Source organism: Homo sapiens, chromosome 12, assembly GCF_000001405.40.
Source record: "Homo sapiens chromosome 12, GRCh38.p14 Primary Assembly".
Taxonomy (NCBI): domain Eukaryota; kingdom Metazoa; phylum Chordata; class Mammalia; order Primates; family Hominidae; genus Homo; species Homo sapiens.
The window spans coordinates 126968599-126996377 of NC_000012.12; the positions used below are offsets into that span (position 1 = coordinate 126968599).

Sequence of the window (27779 nt, forward strand, 5' to 3'; positions counted from 1 at the left end):
CCTGATTTTTATGTTCAAAGGAAGCAATTGTTTGCAGTTTTCTTTTTTATTATTATTATTATTATACTTTAAGTTTTAGGGTACATGTGCACAATGTGCAGGTTAGTTACATATGTATACATGTGCCATGCTGGTGGGCTGCACCCATTAACTCGTCATTTAGCATTAGATGTATCTCCTAATGCTATCCCTCCCCCCTCCCCCCACCCCACAACAGTCCCCAGAGTGTGATGTTCCCCTTCCTGTGCCCATGTGTTCTCATTGTTCAATTCCCATCTATGAGTGAGAACATGGAACATGCAGTGTTTGGTTTTTCGTCCTTGCGATAGTTTACTGAGAATGATGATTTCCAATTTCATCTATGTCCCTACAAAGGACATGAACTCATCATTTTTTATAGCTGCATAGTATTCCATGGTGTATATGTGCCACATTTTCTTAATCCAGTCTATCATTGTTGGACATTTGGGTTGGTTCCAAGTCTATTGTGAATAGTGCCGCAATAAACATACGTGTGCATGTGTCTTTATAGCAGCATGATTTATAGTCCTTTGGGTATATACCCAGTAATGGGATGGCTGGGTCAAATGGTATTTCTAGTTCTAGATCCCTGAGGAATCACCACACTGACTTCCACAATGGTTGAACTAGTTTACAGTCCCACCAACAGTGTAAAAGTGTTCCTATTTCTCCACATCCTCTCCAGCACCTGTTGTTTCCTGACTTTTTAATGATTGCCATTCTAACTGGTGTGAGATGGTATCTCATTGTGGTTTTGATTTGCATTTCTCTGATGGCCAGTGATGATGAGCATTTTTTCATGTGTCTTTTGGCTGCATAAATGTCTTCTTTTGAGAAGTGTCTGTTCATATCCTTTGCCCACTTTTTGATGGGGTTGTTTTTTTCTTGTAAATTTGTTTGAGTTCATTGTAGATTCTGGATATTAGCCCTTTGTCAGGTGAGTAGGTTGCAAAAATTTTCTCCCATTTTGTAGGTTGCCTGTTCACTCTGATGGTGGTTTCTTTTGCTGTTTTCTTCGTCGAGATCTGAGCATATCCCATGTTGCTCTCACAGGCCTGGTGGCAGAGGGCATATTTAATGGGGGTGTCAGTTTTCCGGGGGAAAGAAACAATGAAAAGTCAGTACTGCTCCCAATAGGAGTACAGTTGAACATGTCTGCTCAGGGAATTCCCATTGTATAAAGAAAGGAAATAAAAGGGGAACGCTTCCTGAGAGTTCAGGAATGCCAGGTGAAGGAGCTGCAGGAAAAACCCACTGCTGCTGAATGTTGTATTGAATAACATTTAAATTCTAATGTCTGGAAGAAGCAAAAGGCATGTTGAGCAATTGCTAAGACAGAGGAGAATCACTTGAACCCAGGAGGAGAAGGTGGCAGTGAGCTGAGATCACACCACTGCACTCTGCACTCCAGCCTGGGTGACAGAGTGAGACTCTGTATCAAAAACAAAAACAAAAACAGAACATGTTATGTTTTATACATTACTTATGACTATTACTGAAATCAACTTTATCTTGGGGAATTTATGCTGACTCTTACAAATATTAAAAATTAATTAATAGGTTGAAATATGAGCAACAAGTAAAACAGCCTGCACATTGTTACAGGGAGGTGAGTAGATGGGAGAAGCAGGCTGTGGACCAACTTACTTAACAAATGTTACCTATTATGACCTACAAGTGTTACATAATATGACCTACAAATGTTACATGCTATGACCTACAAATATTACATACCATGACATGCAAATGTCACGTTATGACCTACAAATATTATATGTTGTGACTTACGAATGTTATATACTATAACACACAAGTGTTACACACTATGACCTACAAATGTTACATATTATGACATGCAAATGTTACCTACTATGACCTTGGAAAATCTACACACTCATCAACCCCACTAGTTGGCTCAGTTGTTTGTAAACAGTGAAGAAGAGAATCTGTGAAATTCTCTCCCCAAAAACGCATGTCTCTAAAGCCATGGGATTCCGGGCAGAAGATATCAATGATTCCTTCTCTGAAAATTATCATCTCCCAATAATCTTTATAGTGAGTGAGCCTGTTTCTTTGTGAGTCAGGGGCTGTGGGCTGTCTACCCTCAGCCCATTCAGCACAGAAGACAGTGAGCAATCACAATCAGAGAAATGACTCCCTGCCATTCATTGATGCACCTATCTATCCATTCATTCTAAGCAGCATTGCTGAGCACTGAATACATTTAGGTTTTGTTTCAGGTAGTGAAGAGAGATGACTGAGACACCGGCTCATCCTCAGCAACCTCACAGTCTGTTGGCAAGACAGCTTAAGACAGAAAGTTATAGTACTACACAACATGTGTGATGCAATTACTTGCACTATGCTCAGTGTCGGCTCATCCTCAGCAACCTCACAGTCTGTTGGCAAGACAGCTTAAGACAGAGAAAGTTATAGTACTACACAACATGTGTGATGCAATTACTTGCACTATGCTCAGTGTGAAAACAGAGGGGCAATGGATCCAGGGGAAACAGCAATGGACTATGAGAAACACCAGCTGGTTGGGTGATACAAGCCCAAGCTCTGCAGCCAAGCCCCAGCTCCAGCATGGAGTAGCTCTGGGACCTGGGGCAAGTCACCACCTTCTCTGTGCATCAATTTCCTTACTTGTAAAATAGGTATGTTATCAGTAGTTTACCTCTTTGGGTTAAATGATGCAATTTATGTAAAGCGGAGTCTAGTACATATTTAGTGGGGGTCAATAGAGGTTATTATGTTGAGTCCTACCTGGGGATTCAGGCAGGAAAAATTGATCAGTGACTCTTAAGGGCGTACAGCAGGTGATATACTCTGGAGGGGTGTGTATTTTTATTTTGGTAAAGCATTTCACTACTAAAAATAATTGAATACTGGGATAAGATTAGACAGACCTTATTTTTCATATGCAAACTAAAAAATGCAGACTCAAACAAAGGGTTAGTAAACTTTTGCTGTAGAGTTGAATAGCAAACAGTTTAAGTTTCTTGGGTTTTACAGCTGCTTCTTCTTCTTCTTCTTCCTCTTCTTCTCCTTCCTCTTCTTCTCCTCCTCCTCATATTCCTCCTCTGCCTCCTTCCTCCTTCTCTTTCTCCCCTTCTTTTGCTCCTCCTCCTCTTTCTTTTCATCCTCTTCATCTCCTCCTCCCTTTCTTTCCTCTTCCTTTTCTTCTCCTATACAACTTTTTTAAAAATGTAAAACCAACTCTTAGTTCAAAGGCTGAACAAAAACAGGCTATCAGCTGGAATTGACCCCCAAACTGAATTTGTTTGTGGGCAGACTTTGCTGACCCCTTTTCGACATAGTATTCAAGTCTAGTGGCTATCTGAAAATAGAGTAATAATTCTCAGTGAAGAGAGCTTGGAAATAGTGGACATGCCTACCCTAGTGTATCTAGGGGAGGCAGAGCAGAATCTCAAGGTATGAGAATGGTCATTTTATTTATTCACTAAAGAATGAAAGATACTTTTTTTGAAAATAAGAAATTCCATCCTTAAAACCATTGGGATAAAGGAAGCTCTTAGAGATAATACAAAGGATGAAGATTTCAGCCATTGTTGCTCAACAAAGGACCCAAGTTTGGGACCACAGGAATCTATACATGAGGATCAGGTTGACCTACAAGCCAGGGCTTTCAGTCCTGAGGGGAAATGGACAGATGGCCACTTCATTCTGTCTCAAACAAAGATATTCAGGTAATATGAGGTTAAGCTTTGCTAAATCTCCAGGATGCATCTTTGGTTTCCTGTGTGGTGGGACAAAGGATCTTTAGACCGCACCTGAAGGGAGAGAAGCTATTGGTAAGTTAGGAGGGCACCCCTCTCACCACCATGTTGAATTCAATTAAATCACTTTCAGTACTTGTCTTTGTTAAGGTGTAGCACTTGAGAAACAACAGAGCTGAATCAGAAGACCATGTGTGCAGTGGTGTCCTAGGCAATGATGGCATCACAGAAAACATGACAGAAAGGAGGAGAGACTGGGCATGCCTGCATCTGGCTGCCTTTGGCTTTCTTTATAACTCTTGGAGGTGCCATAGACCAAAGGGGCTCTTGGATGTTGCTTGTGAAATGCAATAACTTTTATTCATAGAAATGACATCAGTGATTGGCACCAACATTAAAATAAAAAACATAAATGTGACATGTGCACTATACCCATTAACATAGTCTACCCAAGCCCAGGAATGTTCTCTTTGTTTTCTTTATTGTGGTCTAACTAACTGTTCTCAACATCAGTTGTATACTAAAATCAACTCAGGAGATTTAAAATATCACTGTTTCTTAGATCTCATCCTGAGAGACACTAATTCAATGTTCTAGACATCAGTACCTTTTAAAAAGCTTCTCAGTAATTATAAAACCAGATGCAGAGAAGGGTATGGAAAAGGGACGTTGAAAAGAGGTTGATCAATGGATAGAATACATAGTCAGACAGAAGAAGCAAGACCCAGTGTTTGATAGGTCAGTAGCATAACCATAGCTAATAATAATTTATTCTATATCTCAAAATAGCTAGAAGAGAAGAATTGGAATGTTTTTGACACAAAGAAAATATACATATTTGAAGTTACGGATATTCCAGTTACTGTGATTTGACTATTACACATCGTATACATGTATCAAAATATTACATGTATCTCAAAAATATGTACAATAGCTGAGTACAATGGCTCACTATAATTTCTATAATCCCAGCATTTTGGGAGGCCAAGGTGAGAGAACTGCCTGAGCCCAGGAGTTTGAGGCTGCAGTGAGTTAAGATTGTGCCACTGCATTCCAATGTGGAAGACAGAACAAGACTCTCCATGAAAGAAAGAAAGAAATTAAAAGAAAGAAAGCAAAAGAAGGAAAGAAAGAGAGAAATAGAGAAAGAGAGAAAGAAAGAAAGAAGGAAAGAAAGAAAGAGAAAGAAAGAAGGAAAAGAAAGAAAGGAGGGAGGGAGGGAAGGAAGGAAGGAGAAAGGGAAGGGAAGGAAGGAAAAAATGTACAAATATATATCAATAAGAAAAAACTTATTTTAAAAACTCTGCTGAAAATTCATTGACCAGAAATAGTCACATGACCTCACCCAGCCAGCACCAGCAATCCTTAGCCCATGAGGTGAAGAGTCCCTGTGTTTGGTGAACAGCACCCATGAGAGCAATGCTATCCTGCGCACAAGCAGAAGAAAGAAGAATCTATGAAAGAGAGAGTTGAGGGAAGGGGGAGTTAGGAAGCAAACAGCCTGCTATAATGCAGTGCAAGTATGGTATAAACTCTATTATTCACTGAGTGGGAACCACACAACTTCCGCTTGCATAGACATAGGACCAGCAGGCATCCGAGTTGTTTCTATTGCTTCTTTGGAAATGCCTTTTCTTCTAACTCAGAAACAGGCCTACACCTCTTTAATTACACAAGTGGAAATATGTTCCATAGAGAAGAGGTAGTTTGTTTTACTGCTTCTTCCTAACTAGCTGACCCAGCCGATGCCTGCAGATGCTTCAGTAGTTTTCAAGTGTTGATGGCATCCACAAAGCTGGGAGCTCACTCATCAGATTCTCTGGAAGGGATTCCTTCAAGTGGACCTGCTAATTTGCATAAACGCTCATCTTAAGGCGTGCATACTAAGCTCACCCCATCCAATATGTCTCCTTGCATTTGGAATACTTTGTATTGGATTTTAAAACATCAGAAAACACCTAGACTTATTTCCAAAGATGTGTGAGTCTCTGAGGTGCAGGACAGAAATTTGTTTTTTGTTTTGTTTTGTTTTGTTTATAACCACTCTATCCAGACAGAAGGCCGGGGATGGTTTGCAGCCTCCAGCGTTATTCTCTTTTCATTTAGTAAATGGGAGCTATAGGACAGTGGGTACTTCTAAACTGTGTGCATATATTTCTCGGAATGGCTGCATTTCATTCATTGCAGCCAGAGATGCTAACGCCTCATGCTGAAATAGGGATCCAAGATTCATCAAAACCGGCCACCAGGCACAGGCTAAGATGAAATAAAGTAAAACATCCTGAAGCACCTTGGGAGTCATTTTCAAAAATATAAATAAAGTAACCTGTATCAGTTAGAATAGCTGTGAGAAATAGTTCATTCAAATGAGTGACTAAAGAGATTGGGAAAATTAACAGTGATCCTGTTAGTGTAACAGGAACAAAAACAAGATTGGGAAGCACCCAGGAGAAGCCCCTACTGTTCTTCATCCTGAAGCGGGAAATGGAAGAGAGCTGGTTCTAGGTCCTGAAGAAATCCAGGAGACAGCCTCCCTCAAGGACAAGGCTGTGTCCTCATGTTGAGGAGCATAAACGGCAATGCTGAGCAGCGACACCACTGGGGCAGAGCCAGGAGGATCAACACTCTGAGCTCTCTCCTGCCACCCTCTGACCTTCTGGGAGTTTCTCTCATGGCCTGACCACAACTGGCAGCAAACTGCAGCCCTCCATCTCCCAGGGTGCAGAGCAGGAAGTAGGATTAACAAAAAAATACATCTTTGAGGGGCCAGCAGGAAATATCCAGGCATAACTCAAAGACCAACATACTTGTTTTACAAAACAGAAGCCTCTGATGATGAGTGTTATTGAACTTTCTCGCATAATTGTGGAAAGCAGTGTGGTGATTCCTCAAAGAATTAAAAACAGAACTACCATTTGACCCAGCAATCCAATTATTGGGTAGTAAGGAATATAAATTGTTCTACCATAAAGAAACATGTACACGTAGGTTCACTGAAGTACTATTCGCAATAGCAAAGACATGGAATCAACCTCAATGCCCATCAACAATAGACTAGATAAAGAACATATGGTACATTTATACCATGGAATATTATGCAGCAGTGAAATGAATGAGATCATGTCCTTTGCAGGAACATGGATGGAGCTGGAGACCATTATCGTTAGTGAAAGAATGCAGAAATAGAAAACCAAATACTGCATGTTCTCGCTTATATGGGGGAGCTAAATAATGAGAACCAATAGACACAAAGAGGGGAACAGCCAACACTGGGACCTACTTAAAGGAGGAAGATGGAAGGAGACAGAGGATCAAGAAAAATAACTGTCGGGTACCATGCTTATTACCTGAGAGATGAGATGGTCTGTACCCCAAACCCCTATGACATGAGTTTGCCTGTATTAACAAACCTGCACATGTAACCCTTGAACCTAAAATCAAAGTTTAAAACAAATAAATAAAAAGAAAACAAATACCTTTCTATGACAAGCTGCAAATTTCAGATCTCTTCTTTTACTCATACTGAATCTTTTCAGCTTCTACTGGGCAGTGAGCCTGCAAATATAACAAGAGAAAATGAGCGGGAATGAGTCAGCCAGCAAAAAGGAGGTAAGCAGGGTCTGCTGGAGACATCACTAAATGAATACTAATGCATGGTATGAGGGTCTCAACTTGTGGATCCAGGGTTTTTGTTCCACAGGCAGATTAGCATGAGATGCCATTGAATCTGGTGTTTTTCCAAGTTTAGTAGTTTAGAGATAGAATTACACTGTTTTACTACATTGATTATTTCATAGTTAACTTCTTAGTAAGGGGGAATGCTAACCTATGGAGCGTTGGTGACAGACACACTCATTATAATGCCTCACTGCTGACAATTTAAAAAAGAAGGTGAAGAAAGAAAAGAATATGATCCATTCTTGTTAAGAGCTCCAGTTGGTGTGAAGGCAGTAAGTGTGGTACTAGTGAGGGGAGCCAGGTAGATCACCACAGGACAGAGGACAGACCTCAGGTCAGGGGCTGAAGACGTGTGCTTTCAGAAGTCAGATGGGTGGATGAACTGGAAAGGATTAAGGCAATAAGGAATGGTGGGAGTTTTCTTCAACTGGAGAATTTTACCCTGTCTAAAAATCATATAAACCCATATATTTTCTTTAAACCATGCACAGCCCAATAAATATTTTCAGAGAAAATTTAGCAGCCAGTATTGATTTTTATTGTTCCTGTGATTGTCATTGTTGTTGCTTCTTCATCTTAGAGACATCAAGGGCATAGCCAAAATCATAGAGAAGCAATGACCTTCTAATCCTCAATGGAGTTAAATTCCCCCAAATCCCCAGGGACTGGAACTCAGATGAAGCTTCAGGAGTTCACAACCTTCTCAGACATAAATAATACAGATGTCATCACTAGTGAGGGAGAGCTCAGCTCAGCGGAACCCAACATATGAGATAATAGGAGACTGCATCACAGAACACTAGGGCACTGTGTCCACCCACAACAATGGGTCAGCGACGGACAACACAGTGCAGACTGAGGGGTCAGGGCACGCTTCATGGAAGAGGTGGGACGTGAGATAGAAAGGATGTTGGAGCTGAGAGGTGGCTGCTCCTCGGGGCTCTAGATCAGTGTTTTCAATGTCCTAAAGACATTTCAAAAGTCACAGACCTCAGGGGAGCTTGATTTCTCTCACAAAGCTCTTCTCACTTTAGGGAATCTGGTTGTGGGTATCAATAACCGCCTTCCCAGGATCAGGGACTAAAAGCATTCTAGTCATTTGACATTTTTTCCTCCCTTTCTTGTTCCACAGGCAATGGATCTTTAAAACTTGTTAATTCAGGTTATTATCAAAAAGCCAAAAAATAGGAAGCAGCAGGCAGCAAGGATATAGAGAAAAGAGAACACTTGTGTGCTGTGGGTGAAAATGCAAATTAACAAAGTTATTAAGGATAATGGTATGGCAGTTCTCCAAAAAACTAGAAATAGCATTATCATACTGTCCAGCAATCCTACTTCTGAGTATTTACCCAAAAGATTTGAAGTTAGTTTATCGATGAGATCTCTGTACTTCCACGATCATTGTAGCACTAGCCACAACAGCCAAGATGCAGAACCAAACTGAGTGTCCATCAACAGATGGAGGGATTTTTAAAAATGTGAAAAATCTAAAAATTTAAATGTGTGTTTGTGCCTTGTGTGTGTATACACAATGGAATACTACGCAGCCTTAAAACAGAAGGGATTTCTGCCATTTGCCACAACAGGTATGAAACTAGAGGACATTATGATAAATGAAATGATCCAGGCACAGAAAGATAAATATTGCAGTTCTCACTTATATGTGGAATCCAAAACAATCAAATTATAGAAGCAGAGAGTAAAATGGTGGTTCCAGATGCTAGAGGGGAGATGGTAATGGGCAGATGATGGTTAAAGGGTACAAATCTCAGTTAGACAAGAGGAATCTTTTTATTTTTTTGAGACCTATTGCACAACATGGTGAACATAGTCAATAACAGGGTATTGTACATTGAAACATCACTAAAAGAGTAAATGTTAAATGTTCTCACCACAAAAACTATTTAAGTATTTGAGATGATAGATATACTAATTAACTTGATTTAATTATTCAACGCTGTATTCATGGATCATAATATCACTTTGTACCCCGTAAACGTATGCAAGTATGAATTGTCAATGTACAGCAAAATAAAAAAAAAAACAAATTTAGAAAAGAACTTGTTAATTCAGCTTCCACCATAACCCTCTCACCATTCCTTCCTCACTTGAAGCCCTGAGCTTTTTTCCTGGCCATTGTGCCGGGTCCTCACCAACGTCTCTTAGAGATAGAATTACACTTTTACTACATTGATTATTTCATAGTTAACTTCTTAGTTAGGGGGAATGCCAACCTATGGCTTCTACTTCCTTGTGTCAATCCATTCCATTGTTTAAAAAAATTCAATAGGTTTTTGGGGAACAGGTGGTGTTTGATTACATGAATAAGTTCTTCGGTAGTGATTTCTGAGATTTTTGGTGCACCCATCACCTAAGCAGTGTACACTGTACCCAGTGTGTAGTCTTTTATCCTTCCTCCTCCTACCACCCTTCCCCCTGAGTCCTCAGAGTCCATTGTATCATTCTTATGCCTTTGTGTCCTCATAGCTTGGCTCCCACTTGTAAGTGAGAACATATGATGTTTGGTTTTCCATTCCTGAGTTGCTTCACTTAGAATAATGATATCCAACTCCATCCAGGTTGCTGCAAATGCCATTATTTTGTTCCTGTTTATGGCTGAGTAGTATTGCATAGTACATATATACATTTTCTGTATCCTCTCTTTGATTGATAGGGGGATACTGAGCCTAATTTTCTGAAAGTTCTGATCATTTTGCTGTTTCCTTCTCAAGTGCCAGGCGAGGTGTCCGGCGAGGTGTCACAGCCCTGGCAGTAGAGAGTGGTTCGCTCATGGGTAGCAAGAAGAATTTACCAACAACAGCATAGGCTTGAAATGGAATATCGTATTAGATGGAAAGAAACGCTGCAGCCGAGTGCAGAGGGGCATCTCAGCAAGAGAGGACTAAGTGCACTGCGGTGGATTGTCCTTCGTGGTATTGATGGACCTTTCAGTCTGATTGAGATGGGAGGGTTACGCTAGGTTTCTCCGGGTTCTCCAGATGCATCTAGAAAGTGACAGGATTGTGTCAGGAGCTTAAGGGTAATTTGAACCTGGACTGTATTAGTTATGTAGGTCATGGTAGCTATTACATTTGTAGATGTTTTGGCACCTTGATGTCAGCAAAGGTTGCATAATGGGTTTTGACATGCATGCATTCTGGAGATGTATAGAAATTCCAGTTATTATAAATTCTTGGGAAAGAATTCTTGGTCGGCTTGATGGCCACCAGCTGATCTTTGCTCTCTTCATCAAGAACCATGAAATGCCCCTGATTGCTCACAAACAAGAGCCCTGACTCATCAGCATGGCTGTCCAATCCACCAAAGCAACTTGCTTCCACCTCCCCAGTCTCTCTTCTTAGAGGCAGACTCACTTGGCCTGAGCTTGTCCTTGTGAAATGGCCTGAGGTTCCCTGGACACTTGTGCAGCGGCATGGTCCTTCTTCATGCCCTTCCTTCCATAAGTCACTCTCGAGCCAGACAGCGAGCCAGACAGTGGGTTTAAACCTGAGCTGCACCTCATGCTGGCTGGGTTTCCTTTGGTGAGTTTACTTAACCGGTTTCAGCCTCAAGTTCTTCATCTGATAAATGGGGATAATAATACTGATATCACAGGGTTGCTATGGAGCTAACAACACAATGCAAAATTCCAAGCACATAAGGTGTAAGCATACATGTCAGTGAGTGGTATTTTGTTTCTGTTATTTATTTATTTATTTATTTATTTATTTATTTATTTATTTATTTATTTTTTAAGACAGCCTCCCTCTGTCTCCCAGGCTGGAGTGCAATGGCATGATCTCGGCTCACTGCAACCTCCACCTCCTGAGTTCAAGCAATTCTTTGTCTCAGCCTCCTGAGTAGCTGGGATTACAGGTGCCTGCCACTACACCTGGCTAATTTTTGTATTTTTAGTACAGATGGGGTTTCACCATCTTGGCCAGGCTGGTCGTGAACTCCTGACTTCACGATCCACCTCCTCAGCCTCCCAAAGTGCTGGAATTACAGGCGTGAGCCACTGCACCCGGCCTGTTTCTGTTATTTTTTGAATTTCTAGTAATTAAAAAACTCATTCCAATATTACTCTTCTCAAAATCCCTTCTTTCCCTGTCCAAGTCTTAATACCCCCTACTCCTCTTTCACTTTCTTGTGCTCTAATCAAAGGTTTATTTTTTTAAGACCAAAATTAACACACTGATGTAAGATTCCTGTTTATGTTACAGTGCTGAACACATCTGCCTTCCCAGTAGACACTGACCGAGCCTCTGAAGAACAAGTTTTTCCCTTCTTGTGTCCCAGGCTTGCTGAAGGGCGTGGCATTTAAATGTCTGTATTTACTTGAATCGCACATTATTGAATCGGATAAAACTGAAAGATTTTCAGGAGAAGACAATGTCTAACTATTGACAGACAAACTTGTACGTCTACTTGCAACTACCCACACCTGGGAGCTCGTTAAGAGCACCAAACCTTGGGTTCCATCCCAAAACTACTGGATCAAAATCTGCATATTTAACAAGATCTCCAGGTAATTCAAGTGAATATTAAAGCTTGAGAAGCACTTATTATGCTCAGTGTTCTGCATCTCCAGACCGGGGAAGAAATACGTTCTAGTTCCCCTGGTAGAGCCACTGCCTGTCTCAATGTTACAAGGGTAGGAGACAGAAAGAAGGGATGGGCAGTGTGGGGAAAAGATTAAGAGCAACTTGGAGACCTGGTTTTGGGTCTCAGATAGGTGTGGAATTGAGCTCAATTTCTGTTACTTATTAGTTTTGAATATTGGGCCTGTGAGCTTAACATTCCTGTTCTGTATAGTGGGGATAGTCATAGCATCTAACTCAATGTGGTGCCATGAGGGTTCAATAATACGACACATACATCAGAATCTTGAAGAATCCTGTGTGAATAATATACCTTCCAGGGCCTGACTCTAGAACTTCCAATCAGAATCTTTGAGATGGTCCAGAAACGCACGTTTTTAATGAGTTCTCCTCCATGTAAAGTTCACATCAGTGCTGAAGAGATTCTGCAGCCATAAAGGTGGATGTTTCCATGAGTGTTTGGGACACCAACTCATCCTCATTAGACATTAGATCCATGCTGGGAATCCTCAGGTCAGCAATTTGAACCAGCCCCAGATCCACCGAAGCTGCAGTCGGAAGAACAAGACACAGAGAAGGAGTGGCAAGAACAAGAAAGCTTCCGAGAGTGCAAGCGTTTTTTTTTTCTTTATCGGATTCGACGCTCTGGAGAAAATTAAACAGGTAAATCAGTCACAGGTGGACTCATTCTTCACTAATTGCATCCTGACTCAAAGTCCTTTCCCCTGAAATGTCTTTCCATTTGCTACTTGCCTCCTGCCTTCAAGTTTTTGTCTTTATTGTTGATTTTCAGAATTCAAATATAATTTGTTTAGCTTAAAAAAAACAAAACAAAAACCACTTGTTCTTCTCTGAGGTTTCTGGATTAATGGTTTGATTCTTTTTGGAAAATTCGCAGCTATTCCTTCTTTGAATAATTTTTCCCCTCCATCTTTTTTGCCGTCTTCTTTTGGATTTCCAATTACATGCGTATTAGACTGAAATCACCCCACTGGATATGAAAAGTATGCTCTGTGTCTTCATTCTCTTTTCTCTCTGTGGTTCAGTTTTGGTAAATTTTACTTCAACTACTTTAAATTCATTTTAATCATTATTTTAAACATTTAGTAATTTATATTTTATTTCGACAAACCATATTCAAACAACTGAAAATCAAAGATAAAGATAAAAACTTGAAGTCAGGTGACAGTGATGCAAATTTAATATCTCACCTGGATGTGGCTGCTAATATCAAAAGAACCACCTTTAGCCTCTTCACTCTTGTTACTTCATCAGCAGGATTTCTAGCTCTCTCTAGTAATAATTTATATTGTAGCTGAGCTATAGTATACATATTACCTATACATATGTGTATGCCTAAAGTCATTACACTATTAGATAACAAAAATAAAATCAGAAACCATACAAAATAACCCCAAAGTCCACATAATTTTGAATTTTCAGGATTGCACTTTCTATCAAATAAAGTACATATGTGTATGTAATATGTGTATGCAATATGTATACTATTAAATATGTGTATGTAATATGTATGCTATTGCACATGTACATATTACATATACATGTGCAATAGTATACGTATTACATATATTGTAATACAATATAATTGTAATACTATTGCATACATATTACATACATTATATATCTTTCTATCTATATGTTTACCTATATCTATCTCTCTATTAAGAAAATCGGTTTTAGGTTCCTGTGATTTATCCACATTATTTCACTTAAATTCCGCAATACAAATTTCCAGTTTTACTGATGAAACTAAAATATAGACCAATTCTGACTTGCCTAAAGTCATTACACTATTAGATAACAAAAATAAAATCAGAACCCATACAAAATAACCCCAAAGCCCACATAATTTTGAATTTTCAGGATTGCACTTTCTATCGAATAAAGTACACTCATTCTTCAGAATCATAGATTGTGAATCTAACAATCTTGCTGAGAATGGATACTCTGACTTCCAGAGACTTGATGACTTTGTTTCCTCTCTTCTCCCGTAATTTTACGTGTGATAAGTGGATGTTGGCAGCTTCTCCAAATAAGGCATGAATCAAGAATGTACTCTCAACGTGAAATAGCAAGCCAAAGATTGATTATATCTACTTAAGTCTATGATAAAAATGGACACCAGCTTGCCAAATTATTTCAGCTGCCAAGAACACCAACCACCAAAGTATCAGGACAGATGGATTTCACCAAAGCCTTGATATAATCTGAGGAAAAGAAACTCAGGGAAAATGTGCTGATCCATCATTTAAGGGGCAAAGGTATCCTCCTGTACTGGTGTTTGTTGGTAAATGTTGAAACCAATTATGTGTTAATAATCATGTTTTAGTTTCTCTTTTAAGTTTCATTTTCTATGTACCACATTGAATAATACTCAGATGAAGTTAGATTATAATTTCTTTTCAGCTCAAGAAAAGTAAGCAAATGTATAGTCAGGGCTATTTTAACTGGAAAAAAAAAACCTACTACTGACAGTGTCTTACAAGAAAGATGTTTAATTTTTTATGTTATAAAAAATGTGGAGGCACATGTTTTATGTATGTCAGCAGTCAAATGGTGACAGGACCTTGGATAAACATCTGGGTTCTCTAGGATCCCACCTAATGTTTGCAAGAAGATTGTAAGTATATTCTCCTATAGCAGCATCTAAAGAAGAGAAGATGGAGCTAATTCTCATATCAGTATTTTCTTAAATGAATAATCTTAACCCAAAACACTGCTAGATAAATTCATTTTGCTCCTCATTGGCTGGATTGGGTCATATGGTCACCTATAGCTACAGAGAGGATGAGAGAGTGAGTACCTGAAACAGTGATTGGAATAAACCTAACCATGATCTACTGCTAGAGAGGTGGCACTTAGACAGAGTGATGATGCCTAAACTTCTAGAAGTAGAGTTATCTGGCTCCTCTAAGACCTAGACTAACTGTAGGTCATTGATAAGCCAAACATCTGATTAAGAATCACATTGGAAGACTTCTCATCATTTTTGTCTTTGTAAATAAAGGACCCCTATCTAACTTTACATTCCTTTACTTCCTTGAACTTAAAAGCCTATAAAAACAAACAAACCAAAAATAAGCAAAAGTATGGTATTATTTTGTTTCCACACTGGTAATAAAGACATACCAGAGACTGGGTAGTTTATGCAGGAAAGAGTTTAATGGACTCACAGTTCTACATGGCTGGGGAGGCCTCACAATCATGGTGGAAGGCAAGGAGGAGCAAGTCACATCTTCCATGGATGGCAGCAGGCGAAGAGAGAGCTTGTGCAGGGAAACTCCCCCTTATAAAACTGTGAGTAAGTCATGAGACTTACTCACTATCACAAGAACAGTATGGGAAAACCCTGCCACCATGATTCAATTACCTCCCACCAGGTCTCCCCAACAACACGTAAGAATTGTGGGAGATAAAATTTAAGATGAGATTTGGGTGGGGACACAGTCAAACCACATCATTTCTTCCCTGGCCCTCCAAATTTCATGTCTTCACATTTCAAAACCAATTATGCCTTCCCAACAGTCCCCCAAAGTCTTAACTCATTTCAGCATTAACTCAAAAGTCCACAGTCCAATGTCTCATCTGAGACAAGGTAAGTACCTTCTGCATATGATCCTATAAAATTGAAAGCAAGTTAGTTACTCACTAGATACAATGGGGTTACAGGCAATGGGTAAATACAGCCATTCTGAATGGGAAAGATTGGCCAAAACAAAGGGGCTACAGGCCCCATACAAGTCTGAAATCCAGCGGGGAAGGCAAATCTTAAAGCTCCAAAATGTTCTCCTTTGACTTCACGTCTCACAACCAGGTCATGCTGATACAAAATGTGGGTTCCCATAGACTTGGGCAGCTCCACCCCTGTGGCTTTGCAGGGTACAGCCTCCCTCCCAGCTGCTTTCACATGCTGGTGTTGAGTGTCTGTGGATTTTCAAGGTACACAGTGCAAGCTGTTGGTGGATCTAACATTCTGGGGTCTGAAGGATGGTGGCCCTCTTATCACAGCCCAATAGGCAGTGCCCCAGTAGGGACTCTGTGTGGGAGCTCCAACCCCATGTTTTCCTTCTTCACTGCCCTAGCAGAGATTCTCCATAAGGGCCCCACCCCTGCAGCAAACTTCTGCCTGGGCATCCAGGCATTTCCATACATCCTCTGAAATCTAGACAGAGGTTCCCAAACCCCATTTCTTGACTTCTGTGCACTTGCAGGCTCAACACCATGTGGAAGCTACCAAGGCTTGGGTCTTGCATCATCTGAAGCCATGGTCTTAGCTCTATATTGGCCCCTTTCAGCCATGGCTAGAGGGTCTGGGATGCAGGGCACCAAGTCCCTAGGCTGCACACAGCATGGGGACCCTGGGCCCGGCCCATGAAACCATTTTTAGCTCATAGGCCTCCAGGCCTGTGATGGGAGGGGCTGCCTTGAAGACTTCTGACATGCCCTGAAAACACTGTCACCATTGTCTTGGGGATTAACATTTGGCTCCTTGTTACTTATGCAAATTTCTGGAGCCAGCTTGAATTTATTCTCAGAAAATAGGTTTTTCTTTTCTATCAGATCATCAGGCTGCAAATTTTTTCAAACTTTTATGCTCTGCTTCCCTTATCAAACTGAATCCCTTTAACACACCCAAGTCATATCTTGAATGCTTTGCTGCTTTGAAATTTCTTCTGCCAGATACCCTAAATCATCTGTCTCAAGTTCAAAGTTCCACAAATCTCTAGGGCAGGGACAAAATGCTGCCAGTCTCTTTGCTAAAACATAACAAGAGTCACTTTTACTCTAGTTCCCAACAAGATCCTCATTTCCATCTGAGACCACCTCAGACTGGACTTTATTGTCCATCTCATTATCAGCATTTTGGGAAAAGCCATTCAACAAGTCTCTAGGAAGTCCAAACTTTCCCATATTTTCCTGTATTCTTCTGAGCCCTCCAAACTGTTTTAACTCCTGTCTGTTACCCATTTCCAAAGTCACTTCCACATTTTCAGGTATCTTTACAGCAGCACCCCACTCTACCAATACCAATTTACTGTATTAGTCCATTTTCACATTGCTAATAAGGACATACCCATGACTGGGTAATTTATACAAGAAAGAGGAGTAATGGACTCACAGTTCCACATGGCTGCATGGCTGGAGAGGCCTCACAATCATGGTGGAAGGCAAGGAGGAGCAAGTCATGTCCTCCATGGATGGCAGCAGGCAAAAAGAGAGCTTGTGCAGGGAAACTTCCCCTTATAAAACCATCAGATCTCATGAGATTTCTTCACTATCACAAGAACAGCACAGGAAAGATCCACCCCCATGATTCAATTACCTCCCACTGGATCCCTCCCACAACACATGGGAATTGTGGAAGCTACAATTCAAGATGAGATTTGGGTGGGGACACAGCAAAACCATATCAAGTATCTAGCCTTGTGTTCCTCCCTCCTTTACCCTACCACATTCTTGAGCATGTAAACAAGCTATATTTATTCGGGCTACAGAGAAACATTTCTGATTGGAACAAAGGAGTGGTACAGAAAAAACAAGCTGTGTGCTTCACACATTTGCCAGTTAGGTTTACTTACAATATCCAAAAATGTGTTAAATTTTAACATTAGTGTTTTTCAATGTAGTTCTCTCATTAACAGCATAACCATTACCTGGGTCCACACTAGAAATGTGAATCTTTGGGCTCTACCCCAGATCTACAGAATCAAAAGTGCCATGGAACCCACCAATTAGCATTTCACCAAGCTCTCCAGGTGATTCTGATATATGCTGAAGTTTAAGAGCCAATGCTTTAGAGTGTGAGTTTGCACATTTTCTTTAAAAAACCAGGTAGATTGAGGAAAGCAGTTTGGTGATCCCCTCAAAGAGCTGAAAGCAGAACTACCATTTGACCTAGCAATCCCATTACTGGATGTATATCCAGAGGAATATAAATCATTCTGTTAAAAAGATACCTGCACATATATGTTCATTACAGCACTATTCACAATAGCAAAGACATGGAATCAACTTAAATGCCCATCAGTGATTGGATAAAGAAAATGTGGTACATATACACCATGGAATACTATGCAGCCATAACAAAAAATGAAATTTTTTTTGCAGGAACATGGATGGAGCTGGAGGCTATTATCCTTAGCAAACTAACACAGGAACAGAAAACCAAATATCATATGTTTTCACTTATAAGTGGGAGCCAAGTGATAAGAACTTATGAACACAAAGAAGGAAACAACATACACCAGGGTCGACTTGAGGGTGGAGGTTGGGAGGAGGGAGAGGGGCAGAAAAGATAACTATTGGGAACTGTGCTTAATACCTGAGTGATGAAATAATCTGTACGACACCCCCCGACACAAGTTTACCTGTGTAAAAAACCTTCACATGTATCCCTGAACCTAAAATAAAAGTTAAAAAAAAAAGGAAGGACCAGTAAATATTTCTGGCTTCAGGAGCAATGTGTCTCTGTTGCAACAACTTAATTCTGCCTTTGCAGTGCAGAGTGGACATAGGCAGTGCATACAGAACATGGCTGTGTCTCAATAAAACATTTGCAAAGAGCAGGTATTTATAAGAGCAGGTAGCCAGTCTTGATTGGGCCCACAGGCTCCTGTTTTCTGATCTCTGATTTAGAGGGAAGCTTCTATCAGAGAGGTTGCATCATCATAGAATGGTTACTTGATTGTCTTTCCAATAGACTATGGGTTCCTTGAGGGAAAGGATTATATTTACTTTTATTTGTTTCTACAGCATCAGTGATAAGCATGGTTCAGAGCTGACACATAATAAACTCTTATTTCACAAGATGCTGAGGAGAAGAGATAAACTTAGAATATTATAAAAGCAAAATGAGGTACCAGAAGTAGTCTGTAGCTTCTTTAAAATTTTGCCTGAAGTAAGACCTCAATTGAAAAGTGTATTGCAATGTTTTCTGCATCGTCCTTAACATTTCTACTCTTCGACCTGCAATAGCAAGAATTGAGTGAAATATGAAAAGATAATATGCGAAACCAATTTGAATATTCTGCTTCAGATTTTTCAAGGGAGATCATGGTGTTGCTCCCTGTTTACAGTTCTCTCTCTGAAGGTTTTTCAGACCATGAAATTGGAGTTCTGTTCCTTTCACAATGGAGATATTCAAAGGAAAGACACAACCTTTGGTCTCTGGCCATAGTGTAAAATTAGGATTAAGAAACCATTGAATTCATTTGGTTGAAAAATTGAGGAAGACACGGTCTGTAGTCTTCAAATCAATAGTTATTTGGGAAATAAAAGCACAAAATTGTTGCCGAGAAACCGTCTCTTCACCGTAGACCACATTTAACTGAGATGCCAGAAAGGGCCATAATTGGGAGACAGAATCTTATGAGGCTACATTAATTTAATATGACTGACACCCAAGTCATAACTCGACCTTTACTCCATTACTGGATAGGAACGTTTTCCACTCTATACCACATTTAGTATATTTAAAGAGGAAGGATAGCTCTCACCATCTCCTAGTCATTGTATAAGAAAAAGTTTTGTGAAATATTTCATTTTGCACTTCCCTCCAGGTCTGTTTTCAGACATAGTGAGGAGCCTGGAGTTTTCCAGAGGTTTTCCAAGCTGCTGAGGAATGACACCAAGCAGCAAACCCACAGAGGGAAGAGGGAGAGTCAATTATTTGAGTTCCCAGGAAGGTATGAGAACATGCCATGGGGATATGAAACCAAACATGGCTATACAATTGGAAGCAAAATTCAATTTAAAAAATGAAGAAAGTGATACAGTTTGGCTTTGCATCCCCACACAAATCTCATGGGAGGTGATTGGATCATGGGGGCAGGTTCCTCCATGCTGTTCTCATAATAGTGAGTTCTCACGAGAGCCCGCTGTTTGGTAAGTGTCTGGCATTTCTCCTTTCTCTCTCTCTCTCTTCTCTCCCGATGCATGTAAGACATGCCTTGCTCTCCCTTCACCTTCCATCATGAATGTAAGTTTCCTGAGGCCTCCCCAGCCAGGCGGAACTGTGAGTCAATTAAACGTCCTCTCTTTATAAATTACACAGTGTCAGGTAGTTCTTTACAGCAGTGTGAAAAAGGACTAATACAGAAGGTAAGATTAATATCATTACTATCAGGCTGAACTAACTAAGCAGAAACCTGAAGAGGTCCTTTGCTTTAATAACTTTTAGTAACTGACTTTTCTATGAAGTAATCAAATCTTGACAGCAATATAAACTTACAACTAAATAAAGTGCATTAAAAACAAAAGTAACAATTTTTATTACTTATTTTTAAATAAAATTTCAAGACTTTTTACTAACTTTTCTTAACGTCTGTGATATCAAGGTTGTTTCTATTTGGTCTGCATCTATTGTGTATGAAGGGTGGTGATCTTATACAATGCTGGGCTGCTGCGCATCTCTTCCCAACTCAATGCTCAGCACTGTCATGGCAGTTGTCTGAAATTGGCCAGCGTGAAAGTATTTACACCAAAGAAAATGGCAAACTGTAAACCAGAGGTTTTTCTCACTGGAGAGCCAATTATTAAACACTTGTCAGCATACCCCAGCTGAAGTGTCATTCAGACCTACAGTACAGGCAAACAATTTCGATTTTGAGGCTCTCATTTAAAAGCAGACATGAATATAAGGTTTCCCTTTGATTAGAAATATATTTTCTGCCTTTTAAGCAAAATGTCCACTTAAGAGGCAAGCTAAAACAGAATTTCTGGCAGTGCATACTGAGAAAATTCCCCTAATGGATTTGCCCTAGAAGCCTCACGTGGATTTTTAGAATGCAAAATCCTTTTATTTTACATTTTTTGTCTTTTTGAATCAACATTTCACTGCTCTCTTTTTTCCACCCTCTGTATCCTCCATCCTGCCTCCCATTTGTAATAGATGCATCAGTCAGGAGGCATGAAGCTGGTCTGTCTGGGGAAATAAATGCATGGGCAGGCTTTCAAGTAGCTATACAATTTCTCTCTATTCTGTCACCTCTGCAATTCTATTCATCATGTTAAGAATGTACACATCAAGCAAAACCATGCTCCCAAATCACACAAATGGTTGTGGAATCAAGCAGTATCACATTGCTCCTACGGGCAGTTTATGGTTGACACATCTCTCCAACGAGGGTTAAAGAAAGACATTCACTTTGATGGATTTTGAAAAGCAAATTAAGCCTTGGAAACTTGTGAAGGAAGATCCAATCAACTCTGCCAGCCACCAGAGGAAGCCACTGCCACCTCTCAGCTGGAGAAACAGAGGGAAGATGCAATGTTATTACAGCCAGGAGCAGGGCCGGCCTTGAGAAGTTGGAATGGAAGTGAACCTCTTTCAGAGAGCTGGAGGCAGGTAGGAGATGCTGGGAGCATTTTGACAAAGATGTCCCATAAGGCAGAGAGGGTGGAAGATGAAAGTCCTGGCTTTTCCCTATCTCCTCCCTGATAATCTCTGGATTACCTGGGAAATTCAATCTGGAATTGGGCACCACCCCATACAATGCAGAGTAATGCCAGAAAAAAGAGGCAAAGGATATGAAGATCACCCAACCAAGATAGCATCCACTAAACATGTTGGCAGGTCGCAAAGGTGATGACCTAGGGGAAGTTCCTCTGAGCTGCTTTTCCACACCAAAGGCAGCAAGTCACTTGTGTTATCCTGCAAACTCCTTCCTAACTGCCTCCTAGGAGAGTGGAACCTGGTGTAAATGTCTTAGAAGCACCTCCAAAGAAGATGCCTGCTGTGTTCAGTTGCAACTTGTTCCTTCCCAGAAGATGCCTTTATCACCCATGAAACGTCGTTCTACATTCTTCCTTATTCCAAAGTGCTGACGTTTTGCAAGATGGTGACAATACTATGCAATTTCTCCATCTCCCTTGTAGTCAGGAGAGGCTGTAGAACATAGCCACTGTAAGTGGAAACCAATGATATGCCTCTCTGGAAACATTCCAGTGTCTCTGGGGATAAAGAGGAACAGATTCAGTTTCCATGAATTTTTTACCTTCCCTTCCTTTTCCTTCTTTTTTTCTGTCTTCTTTTGTCCTCATCAGAAACAAGACCTTAATGCCTACAGGTACAGCAGCTATTTGTAACCCAGGATCCATGAGCTAAAATAGATGGTGAAGCAAAAAACCGGAAGGAGCTTTGTCTTATCACATGTATAACATAAGTAAGGCAAACCAAATATTTACTTGAACCATTTTGCAGCCAAATAGTTTTGCAGAACTATTTTTTGCAGCCAAATATGATTTTAAATATTAAATCACCTAAAAACAAAACATGATAACTGATGCCATAATGATATAGGGGTAGAAAAATAAAAGATTTGAACTCAAAACATCTGAATTCAAACTCTGGCTCTATCAGTTACAAGCCATGTGATCTTAGACATGTGGCTGAATGTCTCTGTGCCTTGGTTTTCCCATTTATAAAATGATGGTGATGATAATTCCTGCTGGGTCTGGTTCCTTTTCAATATTCTACAGCCTCAGAGCCTACGCACATGCTGTTCCCTCTGCCTGGAATGCTGTTCTTTTGCTCCATTGACTCCTACTTATCCATGAGATCTTAGATCAAATATACTTTTCTTTCAGTGAGTTGTATTTGTTGTCCTCTCAGACTCAATCAGATTTCAACCTCTTAGACTTTCTCTACACTGTAGCTTTTCCTTCTTTTAAAAAATACTTTTATTGGCTGGAAACTGTGGCTTACACCTGTAATTCTAGCAATTTGGGAGGTCGAGACAGGTGGATCACTTGAAGTCAGGAGTTCAAGACCAGCCTGGCCAACACGGTGAAACCCCATCTCTACTAAAAATACAAAAATTAGCTGGGCGTGGTGGTGTGTGCTTGTAATGCCAGCTACTTGGGAGGCTGAGACAGGAGAATCGCTTGAACCCAGGAAGCGGAGTTTGCAGTGAGCCGAGATCATGCTACTGCACTCCAGCCTGCGTGACAGAGCGAGATTCCATCCCCCCTCCAACAACAACAAAAAAAATATATATATATATAGTATAAAACAAGTATATATATACTTTTATTTTAAGTTTGGGGGTACATGTGCAGGTTTGTTATGTAGGTAAACTTTTGTTGCATAGGTAAACTTTTGTCATGGGGGTTTGTTCTACAGATTATTTTATCATCCAGGTATTAAGCATAGTAAGCATAGTACCCATTAGTTATTTTTCCTGATCCTCTCCCTCCTCCCTCTGATATGCCCCATTGTGTGTTGTTCCCCTCTATGTGTCCATGTGTTCTGATCATTTAGTTTCCACTTATAAGTGAGAACATGCAGTGTTTGGTTTTCTGTTCCTATGTTATTTTGCCGTGGATAATGGCCTCCAGCTCCATCCATGTCCCTGTAAACAACATGTTCTCATTCATTTTAATGGCTGCATAGTATTCCATGATGTGTATGTACCACATTTTCTTTAATCAGTCTATCACTGATGAACATTTAGGTTGATACCATGTCTTTGCTATGTAAATAGTGCTGCGATGAACATATGCATACATGTGTCTTTATAATAGAATATTTATATTCCTTTCAGTACATCCCCAGTAATGGGATTGCTAGGTCGAATGGTATTTCTGTCTTAAGGTCTTTGACGAATCGCCACACTGTCTTCCACAATGGTTGAACTAATTCACACTCCCATCAACAGTGTAAAAGTGTTCTCTTTTCTTCACAACCACACCAGGGTCTGTTATTTTTTGACTCTTCAATAGTAGCCATTCTGACTGGTGTGAGATGGTATCTCATTGCGGTTTTGATGCACGTTTCTCTAGTAATCAGTGATGTTGAGCTTCAGTGGCATATTTGTTTATAAGATTATGCCATGAATTTCTGTCTCCTCCATGATACTGAAAACTCCATGAGGACAAGAAACCTCTATAAGTCACTTAGAAATACACCCTCAGCATCTCCTAGTGCTTGGACACGCAGCAGATACTCACTGTCTAACAAATGGACGGATAAGTAAGTTCTGAATTTCAAATACATATGTGTCTATGTAAGTGGGGAAAATAAGAATATTTATATTGTTGAATTGCTTAGACTAATGTTTTTCCAGAAGTTCCTGGCAGAGTATTTATCAAATTCTTCGCATTTATTACTGTGCAGTTGTATAGTATATTATTATCTAGCCATGCAAATAAAAACGAACTCTTTGTGACTCAACACTAATGTGCTTCCAATTGTAATGACTGCTGTTCTCACAGATTCTTGTTTCTGTGGTCAAAGAAATGGAGTGGGATGATATGGAGATTGTCTGTGACCCAAAGACTGCTGGTCTCCGTAATCATGGCATAGAGAAAAAGAGGAGCAGGGATTTATCACAGAGATGTATTTTATGTAGTAAGTTATTTTTCACATATATGTTTTTCTCTCTTCTTGTGATAAAAGGGTGGTTATTTTTTACACTTACTCACATGAAGTGTCAACTTGATTGAATTGAAGGAAGCAAGGTTCATCCTTTCTGGGTGTGTCTGTGAGGGTGTTGCCAGAGGAGATTAACATTTGAGTCAGTGGACTGGGAGAGGCGGACCCACCCTCAATCTGGGTGGGCACCATCCAAATGACTGCCAGCGAAGCTAGAAAAAGCAGGTGGCAGAAGGTGGAAGGAGATGACTTGCGGAGCCTTCCTGCCTTCATCTATCTCCCGTGCTGGATGCTTCCTGCCCTGAACATCAGACTCCAGATTCTTCAGCTTTTGCAGTCTTGGACTTACAACAGTGACTTGCCAGGGGCCCCCGGTCCTTGGGCCACAGGCTGAAGGCTGCACTGTCGGCTTCCTTATTTTTATTTATTTATTTATTTATTTACTTATGTATTATTTTGAGATGGAGTTTCACTCTTTTGCCCAGGCTGGAGTAACACTACATAATGACATCTATTTGTGGCATTTATATCTTTTGTTACAAGGCAGCTTATTACTTTAAATTATGGTTAAATAAAGACTTTCCACTCTGGTTTTAAACCATGTTACACATGGAGACATAGGAATGGATGATGGAAATTTTATTTATTCTTTTGCTTCTTCAAAATTTAAAAACTCTCCCTTAATTATGCTGGAAGCCTTTTAGCATGGCTTCTTAAAGATGGAAGCAGAGACTGGATCCTTGTTCACCAAACCCACTCTCTCTCCTTCCTGGTTATGTTTTATTTCCAGCCTCCTTGTAGCTTGCTGTGGTCATGGGACTGGTTCGCAGCCAGTGGCAGGGGTGCAGACATGTGGCACTGCCTTCCTCACCTGGCCTGGGTGACGCTCCCATAGGTGATCCTGTAGGTTCTGTCCTCTTCCATCAGCTCCGTGCCCAGCAGCACCGCAAGCTTAGAAGCCACATGTTAGAGAAGGAGGAGCCAAAGATGGGAGAGCCTGGCCCCCAAACATCCTCCGGAGGAGAGCCACTCACTGATTGGGTGTATTAGTCAGGGCTCTCTAGAGGGACGGAACTAACACAATCTATGTATACATGAAAGGGAGTTTATGAAGGAGGACTGACTCACACAGTCACAAGGTGAAGTCCCACAATAGGCCATCTGCAAGCTGAGGAGCAAGGAAGCCAGCAGTAGCTCAGTTGGAGTCCCGACACCTTAAAAATAGGGAAGCCGGGTGGGCGCGGCAGCTTATGCCTATAATCCTAGAACTTTGGGAGGCCAAGGCGGACGGATCACCTGAGGTCAGGAGTTCGAGACCAGCCTGGCCAACATGGAGAAACCCCGTCTCTACTAAAAATACAAAATTTAGCCAGGTGTGGTGGTGGGTGCCTATAATCCCAGCTACTCAGGAGTCTGAGGCAGGAAAATTGCTTGAACCCAGGGCGCGGAGGTTGCAGTGAGGTGAGATCGCACCACTTTACTCCGGCCTGGGCGAAAGAACAAAACTCTGTCTCAAATAAGTAAGTAAATAAATATAGGGAAGCCGACAGTGCAGCCTTCAGCCGGTGGCTGAAGGACCAGGGGCTCCTGGCAAGTTACCATTGTAAGTCCAAGAGTCCAAAAGCTGAAGAACCTGGAGTCTGATGTTCAGAGCAGGAAGCATCCAGCACGGGAGAAAGATGAAGGCAGGAAGGCTCAGCAAGTCAGCTCCTTCCACCTTCTGCCACCTGCTTTTTCTAGACACGCTGGCAGTCAGTTGGATGGTGCCCACCCAGACTGAGGGTGGGTCTGCCTCTCCCCGTCCACTGATTCAAATGTTAATCTCCTCTGGCAACACCCTCACAGACACACCCAGAAAGGATGAACTTTGCATCCTTCAATTCAATCAAGTTGATACTTCATATTAACCATCAAACCAGGGCATTTCCTTTGAAAATTATGAGTGGGAAATGAACTTTTATTCTGTTTAAACTGTTACACACTTTGGGTTTTCTTTGTTACAGCATTTAACTTTATCTTAACTAACATAAAGACAAAAAATGGAAGCGATGGGATCCAAGCCTGATTTCTAATCACTAAGCAGTGTTTTAGTTTAGTTACTGATTTTGAAATTTTGTGGCTAGCATATTAATTGTTTATTACATTTTCATACCACCAATTCTAAGAAGTAAATAACCATTGAAAGCATTGACCACTCCATGTCTAAATAGATGCCTTGGTTAATGAAAAAAATTTCTATAGTCATTACTTACTAATGTTGCCAATAGAGAAAATAGGCAGTCCAGTGTAGCTGACCAGATTTTATCTTATGATGGACAATTTTATTTGTGCTCGGTTCAATGTACCAAAAACCAGCCTGAAGGTGTAGTATATACTTACACATTAATCCAATAAAAGTGGTTTTGCACAAGCAATTTTCCATGAGTTTCCAGAAAATAATCTAATTACTTATGAGTTTTTAACTCTGAAAGTAAGGATGACTTTTCCTCCCTGACTCTTCGGGGTCCTTTCTGAACTCTTTCAGTTGACCTGATTTAAATCTTAAAAAGTCAAGCAATCAATATTATCCGATAAGATGAAAATCAGTAAAATAAAAATATATATAGGATTGGCGAGTTAGAATTATGTTAGGAGAAAATATCCAATTTCTGCTAAATAACTGGGGAGACCTGGTCCCTAGCCCCTAACTCTTTATTGTGAACCAAGGACAGTTCCTCCCCTCCCATCTCTCAATATGTCCAGAGACAATCACTCCACAAAAACTTCAGACTCTCTTCCATGACATTGCTGAAGGAATATTCATGTCTTTTAAAATCTGCTTTGCACTGAGGAAAAAAAATAACCTTTCACTTCTTGGGAGAAAAATAAGCTCTTTGGGAAAATTATTTTTGTGCATTCTGCTAACTTAAAAATCACACAATTTATACATTTAGAAGGGAGAGCTTTATACCTGACAAGGGGGATTACAACTTGTAGGAGGGAAGCATAGCCTCTGGCCAAAAACCAAAAGCAAGCACTCTGAAGAGGAGTGGTTGAACAGAAGTTGAAGCTGAATGCATTGACCAAGGAAACATATGCAACAGGTTAAGGAAGAACTGTGGATTTGTGAAGGCGATCCTGAGGCATGCATATTGAACAAACGTGCACGTTACCCGTAAGCCATGTTCACTTTGGGATGGAGACTTAACATTTAAATGTATTACAATTAGACTTTATATGTCAAAAGATGAAGCAAGAACATGAAGACACTCAGTATGCAGCCTCTGTAAACCAGCCAGAACCAGTCCATGGTCCATGGTCTTCTTATCAGGAGAGAGTTACTGAAATCAGTCTCTTGTTCAG

The 27779-nt window shown here is 40.5% G+C and overlaps 2 long non-coding RNA genes across 4 annotated transcripts in view; one reads left to right on the top strand and one right to left on the bottom strand.

Annotated features, from left to right (window-relative positions):
- Window positions 1-27779, bottom strand: part of LINC02405 (long intergenic non-protein coding RNA 2405) — a 145171-nt gene that overhangs the window by 53372 nt on the left and 64020 nt on the right. Inside the window, exon 4 of the long non-coding RNA NR_104646.1 lies at window positions 7241-7319. This is a non-coding gene — a long non-coding RNA (long intergenic non-protein coding RNA 2405). The remainder of the gene's footprint in view (window positions 1-7240; window positions 7320-27779) is intronic.
- Window positions 8263-27779, top strand: part of LOC105370063 (uncharacterized) — a 51177-nt gene continuing 31660 nt past the window's right edge. The window contains exons 1-4 of one of the 3 annotated variants that reach the window (XR_945517.2): window positions 8263-8328; window positions 10175-10375; window positions 11666-12706; window positions 13928-14201. This is a non-coding gene — a long non-coding RNA (uncharacterized LOC105370063). Of the gene's footprint in view, window positions 8329-10174; window positions 10376-11665; window positions 12707-13927; window positions 14202-27779 lie in introns of those variants that run through there. The other 2 variants (XR_007063519.1, XR_007063518.1) reach the window with 2 other exon arrangements.